The following is a 6,648-nucleotide window of genomic DNA, read 5'->3' on the forward strand; positions in this document are numbered from 1 at the left end:
GGCCTAGGTTTCAGCTCCGAAATGACCAGAAGAAAGCTTGAAATATATCCACCCTGATGGCAGGCATTCAACAGAGGCAGTGACTGGGCTCCAGGTCATAGGAGGCCCTGATGCCACAGCGAGGGCAGGGGACGGTGCAGAACACAATGATCTTGGGCTGCCTTAAGTCCCTCAGTGTGTTCATCAGCTCAGCCCCAAGTTCAGCAAATCTCCCCCAGCAGAGAGCTCCCTGGGTGTCATAACTCTCCAGAGGGGCAGGATACAGCTCCAGGCTTAGCTTGCTCAGCCCGACGGTGTGGCGCAGCAGGTTCTCAAGGGCAGCCATGGAGATGAGGTTCCCACAGAAGCTGAAGGTGCTGAGCTGGGAGCAGCGGCTCAGGACAGGCAGGATGGCGCTGAGTTGGGAATCCATGATCCCACAGTCCTCTAAGTCCAGGGTCTGCAGGGTGGCCACAACTTGCTCCAGCAGACCTGTGAGGGGCTCAGGGCTGAAATGGGTCAGCGTGACACCCCTCAGGTCCAGCTCCTTTAATTGACGGATGCTCGGGCACCAAGAGAGATGCTTCAAGTCCGACTCTGACAGCAGGCAGTCGGTCATAACGACCATCTCCAAGGAGGCCTGGAGACACCTGGGAGAGAACAAGAAGGAGTTAGAGGAGAGAGGTGGGGATGACTTCAGGGTGAGAGATGATGCTCTCCATAACCCAGGGCTGCTCTGCTCATCTGAGGATAGTCAGCACCTGGGGTGTGGGAATGGAGACTCTGTTCCTTCAGTGCAGTCCCAATCGAGGCTCAGTCCTTCACCATCACCGAGGTGATTGGATCAAGTCCATGAACTCTAAGTCTCCCTTTCCTCATCTGTCAGGTAGAAAACCACATCTCTGGGCCACAGGAGCCCGATGGAGACACAGGCATAAATGACAAACCCAGGCAGGATCCTGCAACATCAGCTGGGTTGGCCAGGTTGCAGGAGACCCTGACATGCCTGTACCATCAGCAAACCATCTATCACTTTTACCATTCTTTGCTCCTGCTCCCTCACCCTCTATTCTATCATCATGTATTTCCCATACATTAATTACCTGACCTGGAGCTCAAAACAGGGTGCTGACAGGGAAACATAGGATTTTGCCTGTTCACTAGGCAGGTGAGGATAGACCTCATATTTTAAAATATAGGAGTGGGATGGGCATTCTCTTTAGTGCCCTCTTCACCTCCCTATTTCCCATCATCTTAACTTAGACACACATCCTCAGGAGGAATTCACAAATGCACTCTCGCCAGATCTAAACCCTGCAGTAGCTAGCTTCCTAGCTTGGCACCTTCTCTATAGCATCTAGCCCAGGAGATCCCTCTGACTTTATTGGGATGGTTGTGTGATACCCGTATCAGGACAGAGCCACCAACAGGATAATGCATGGATATTCTAGTGTCCCCTCACTCTTACTTCCTCACAGGCTCACAGTGCATACCCACTGGTGTTTACTGTAACAAAGAAAGGCTCTGCTGTGGTCTGAAGAGAAAGCTCACCATCCTTCCTCACCTGAGCAGCTGGTCCAGGTGGCCTTCGAGGAAAGAGACGGAGTGCATAGACAGATTCTGGAAATAGTCCAGCTTGAGGAACTGAGAGGTGAATCGGGCAATGAACTGCCCCTTGTTGTCTGGGGGAATGCAGGCAGATGCACGGATGTTGAAGAGAACAAGTTTGCGGAGATTCCTCATCTGGCCCAGGTAAGGGGCAAACTTCACAAGAGTGGACAGCTCCCAGGGGCAGCACACTTCCACCTCCTGGATACAGTCAAGCTCCACCATGTTCAGGACCTCTATGATACTGTGGATGGGCATTCCAAAAACCTGCAGCTCCTTGCAACACACATGCAGTAAGCCTTTTCTCTGCTTGCCCCACTCTAAGAGGTGGGTGAGGCATTCATCTAGTGTCCTGTTCTTGAGACAAAGGTCTATGAACACCATGAATGGCTGCTGCCTGCCTGTCCCTGGACAGTTATCTGCTGTTTGCTTCTGACTCAGAGCCTCCGGGAAGGATGCAGTAGCTCCAGAAAATATGTCGCAGAAGTTCTCATCCACATTCCTCAAGTCCAGCACTTGAAGTTTTGACTGCCTGTGGGTAAAGGAGAAGAGAGGCTCCAAACTAAGGCAAGGACCTGAGCTTTTATTTACATCCCAGACATCAGCTGTTCTCCTCTCTGCCACTTTTCCCTCTCTGATTTTGTCCAACCCCTTTTCCCTCCGGATTTTGCCTCATCCCCATTGCCTGTAGCTTTCAGAGCCACTAGAAGAGAAGTTTCTGTTTCCTCAGTGGACCCTGCATGGTGAGCAGTCCTTTCCCAGAGGGGCTGGGCAATGGCCAAGGCCTTCCTGAGCTTCCTCACTGGCACCATCAGAAACCTCTGGGCCTCCATGGTGCCCCTCCTCCTCCTGAAACAGCTGTCCCTACCCTGGACAAAAGGGCCCTCCCCACCTGGACACCTGGGTCACCTCACCTGGGGCGAACCTCTTGGGTCAACAGCACATCAACCCCTTCCAGCACAGATTTTAATGACTCCAGATGAGGCGACTTCATCAGGGACCCTAGAGGGAGGCGGGTGAAAGGCCAGGCCTGCACCATTGTTTTCAGGGTTTCACAGCGTCTCCTGCTGAAGGCCTCCATGAACAGTGTGGGGAAGAGCTCCCTGGGCAGCTCCTCCATGGTGGAGATGGCCAAGGCCTGGTCCCTCAGCAGCCTCTGCCTTGCCAGCTCCAGGAGTCTGGGTGGGGCCCTGATGCTCATCTTGATGAATCTGCAAGGGAAAACTCTAGAGGACAAATCCAGAGAAAAGGCATCACTCTCAGGCCAAATATGATCACCTCATCTTCTCCTATTGCTAATCTCATTGCTCTGGTGGAGGTGGAAAAGCCCTCAATTCCCCCCAGTTCCATTCTGCACTTGGTGGCCACAAATCTGTATCTGTGCCCCTGTGACTACCACAAAGAATGTCTTTCAAACACCAAGGAGGGGACGAGGTGGCCAGTGGCCCATTAATTTCTATACATTGCTCCACTGAAACTCAGGATTACTGGGATCTGTCACTCAGGATCCTGAAAGCTAAGCTCCACCTTTTTGAGGGAAATTTTTTTGTTACTTACCACCCAAAAACAATGAGAATGACTGTCCTGTGGCCCCACACAGCCTGCATTCTCAGTTTACACAATTAGCATGCTTGGGGAAGACTGAAGTGACTCCTTAAAATCAATGCCACTTGTTTTTATTTTGAAAAATTATAAGAGAAACTATAAAAGCAGTGTGGCAGTATTCTAGAGCACTTGGAAGGTGCGGGTGGAAACACTAAGTCTCAGATGAAGGATCCAATACTCATCCCTTCTACATACTCACAATCACCCACTTAGGGACAGAGTCTAAGGGCAGAGATAAATCCCATGTTCAGAACAAGACTCGAGAAAATCACAATACAACTAAGTGTGTGAACTGTAGCTGAAGGGCACAGAAACAAATAACTTCACATGTCAAGACATAAAAATTCATCCAACTGTAAATTTTTAATATCTTTTTTAAAAAACTGCTTCAATAAGAATTTTGAAATGAGAAAAATGAAGCAGAAATCAAAATTTGAGGGATGAAGTGAATACTATATTTAGAGGAAAAATCAAAACCTACATCTGTTAAATTGAAAAAACAGACAGGAAATTCTCTGTGCCACTTTGGGCTGTGTGTCACCATCCCTGACTGGCTGGCTGCAGATCAGATGGGCATGTTCCTAAGGAGGTGGTGACTTACCAGATCTGGACTCAGTTTGTAGGGTGCTGGGATCTCTCAGAGAATCAAGCAGTAGTTCCAGGCACCAGGGCTTTGGGTCTCTCCTTTGCAAACTCAGGAGCTTTTATTGATGTTTCTAACCACACCCTCCCCTTCTCAATCACCAGCTTCCAATCAGAAAGTGATACCTGATTAGATTCCGAAGTTCCACCTAGTTAGTCCTGATTGAGTTTTACACTTTCTTCTGATTCATTGATTAAATTAGATGTGCATTTATGAAAGTGAAAGAATAAATAACAGGGTGAAAGTCCAAAACTCATTAATTCATTTATTCCCCAAACACTGATGAAGTTTGACTAATATGTGACCTTCATAGAGACATGGAAGGTTTAATCTGTTCCTGACATTAGAAAGAAAAAACAAAACCTGATGATATCTTTATGGGAAAATCTGTGGCCACATCGAAATTATCAAAACGTTTCGTTAAGACAGTTAAAACAGCTTTAAAAAGACAGTGATGTCCACCCTAAGAAAACGGATTAAAAAGCTCCTTTATCCAATGGTCACCTGGGTTTTATGTTTTATAACAGGGCAGGTCATATGTGGGTTCAGGTTGAAAAGGGGACCACGGAGGGTGTGATTGATCACAAGACTAAGGTCAAGGCTTCACTGAAGGAAATCAGGACAGAATGACAAAGTGAGGTGGCGGCTGGGCAGGATGGGACCGGGTGTTCTAGTAGAACCCTGGGAAGGAACCAAGACAGCATAAAACATGGTGGGTATTTTGTGGGCATCTCCACAGAAGGATTGAAAGACTCTGTCTAGATTGAGTTTAAAAATTAAAAAGGGAATAATTACAAAAGAGACAGTGCAGACTCTTCAAACACAACATTGTCTTTGAGGGCAGAGGAGGCAGATACAGTCTTGGCCTCTACTACAAGGGAAAGCGTGTTTACTCCCAAAAATGATGGGCTCGCCTCGGAAAATCAGCCTGGGAAGATGGAATCTGAGAATGTGAGCTGGGGCAGATGCCAGAGGAAGGAAGGAAGGAAGGGAGGGAGGAAGGAAGGAAGGGAGGGAGGGAGGGAGGGAGGGAGGGAGGGAGGGAGGGAAGGAGGGAGGGAGGGAGGGAAGGAAGGAAATGAAAGAAAGAAAGAAAGAAAGAAAGAAAGAAAGAAAGAAAGAAAGAAAGAAAGAAAGAAAGAAAGAAAGAGAGAGAGAAACTCAGCCTTCCTGTCTTTAAGAACGGTGCACACATCTGGTTGTATTGTGTGCAAATGTACAATACATTTCCCCAACAAAACCTGGAAGCTCTATTTCATGTTAAAAGATCTGCTAAGTTCAGGGATGGCTCCCATCCTAAGCAGGATCACACAGTCATTCTTCTGCTATTTTAGGGCACAAAGTAGCAAGAACGTCCCCCGCCTCCAGAAAGTCCTCCAGGCCTTTCTCTCCCATTCCATATGAAACCCAAACAGCCCGGAGATGCCACTGGCTTCCAAAACTGAAGTACTTTGAAGGATGTTCTCCATCATGGAATATTTCTGTAAATGTTCTTTCTCCACATTTCTGACCTCACTATCAATGCCCTGCTATGTGTGCAATCGAGTTAAACTGAAACGTGCTCAGTGCGGCTTCTACTTCACCTGCCCTCACTTTGTGAGCCTGAGGCTGAGGGTGAGCTCAGCACCAAAGGTGATCCTGAGTGTCTCTGTTGATTGAGCATGCACAAGGCACAGCAGGGACTGGTACCATTCATCCAAGATCTCAGCTCTCCCTCACGAGGAATCTAAGGCATGTTGCTATATTCCTCATTTTTAAAGTGGTGACCCTGAGACTTGGCTAGGGAGAGGAACCTGCCCGTGTTCAGGCAGCAAATGATGGACAGACCCCTCTGGTGAGGAGCTCAGAGGATCCCCTAAGGAGTTCAATAATCTAAATGTTGAAAAGAACTGATTGACAGACTTTCCCTTCCTGCCCAATTCAGAAGGTCCAGCACCACCCCCAGGACCCCAGTGAGAATCCCGCACTTGGGGGCATTTCTACCATGTCCTGTCACCTGTTCTTCTCAAGGTGCTCATCTGCTGTCAAACTCAGAGCATCCTTCAGAGCCCCTCTGAGAAGATGACCTGACCCCTTCTCCACTCACAGAATCTCCACCAGAATACCAAAGCTCCCCCAGGCACTTGCTCAGGGTCTCTAGAATATTTCTGAGCTTCTGTTTCCCTCCTGCAGACTGAGCTGTCAAGGCAGGTATCTCTTTATGCATCCTGGATACCTCAGCCCAAATCTCCTGAACAACAGAACATGGCCACAATGCTGGGAGACCTTCACCCCAGAGCAGTCATTGAGGAATTCTCCCAAAATTCTATTGAGCTATTTTGGTGAACATGAGAAGCCATAAAGCAGGGAGTTCCTCAGCTGCTGCTCTGGCCCTAAAGAGGCCCCTGGGACAGGACTGCTGGAGGGTGACCCTGCCTGGCACGCAGAAGGAGACCTGAGTCCTCTGGTCTTCCTATGGGTGCCAGGCTGAGAAGAGGTCCTGGGAAATGTCTCGGTGCAGGGGCCATCCCTTCCCAGGCTCCCCTGGGTCAGCCTTAGAGCTGACAAGGCTGCACCTGGAATGCAGTCAGTCTGTTTCTGTCCAAGTCAGGTCTCTTCTTAGCCTGAGCTGTTCACCCTCTGTGCATTTCTAAGAGTCAAAATCTCTGTTCTGGCCCTGTTGCCCTTCTCTGGTCCTCAACCGGGTCTGATTCCAGGTCAGATTCATGCACATCGTGTGCTAAAGTAGGGGCTTCCTCTCTTTCTTCCTCCAATCAAGTCTGAGGACAAGGTCACCCTGAAAGCAGACACTTGATGCTGAGGGAGGTGCTCAG

General features: G+C 48.8%; 1 protein-coding gene across 2 annotated transcripts; it reads right to left on the reverse strand.

Annotated features, from left to right (window-relative positions):
- On the reverse strand, nucleotides 1–3,834 carry PRAMEF8 (PRAME family member 8). 2 transcript variants are annotated; one of them, NM_001012276.3, is made up of 4 exons: nucleotides 3,794–3,834; nucleotides 2,502–2,813; nucleotides 1,544–2,119; nucleotides 1–629 (listed from the first exon to the last, which is right to left on the reverse strand). In NM_001012276.3, exons 2-4 carry the CDS (start codon nucleotides 2,786–2,788, stop codon nucleotides 68–70), a joined length of 1,425 nt encoding a protein of 474 aa, NP_001012276.2. In that variant the 5' UTR covers nucleotides 2,789–2,813; nucleotides 3,794–3,834; the 3' UTR covers nucleotides 1–67. The 2 variants fall into 2 exon arrangements, with proteins under 2 accessions (NP_001012276.2, XP_016856758.1); XM_017001269.2 differs by lacking the exon at nucleotides 3,794–3,834 and having other exon boundaries at nucleotides 2,502–2,850.
- Nucleotides 3,835–6,648: the final 2,814 nt, after the last annotated feature.

The sequence above is a fragment of the Homo sapiens genome, chromosome 1 (assembly GCF_000001405.40).
Source record: "Homo sapiens chromosome 1, GRCh38.p14 Primary Assembly".
In the NCBI taxonomy this organism is placed as follows: domain Eukaryota; kingdom Metazoa; phylum Chordata; class Mammalia; order Primates; family Hominidae; genus Homo; species Homo sapiens.

Bases quoted from the DNA above. Each gene is read 5' to 3' on its own strand.
- PRAMEF8 (NM_001012276.3), bottom strand. From the start codon at position 2,788: ATGAGCATCAGGGCCCCACCCAGACTCCTGGAGCTGGCAAGGCAGAGG. The intron at 2,120-2,501 runs GTGAGGTGACCC...CTTTACCCACAG, and splicing joins ACCCAAGAGGTTCGCCCCAG to GCAGTCAAAACTTCAAGTGC. The intron at 630-1,543 runs GTGAGGAAGGAT...GTTCTCTCCCAG, and splicing joins CACCTGGACCAGCTGCTCAG to GTGTCTCCAGGCCTCCTTGG.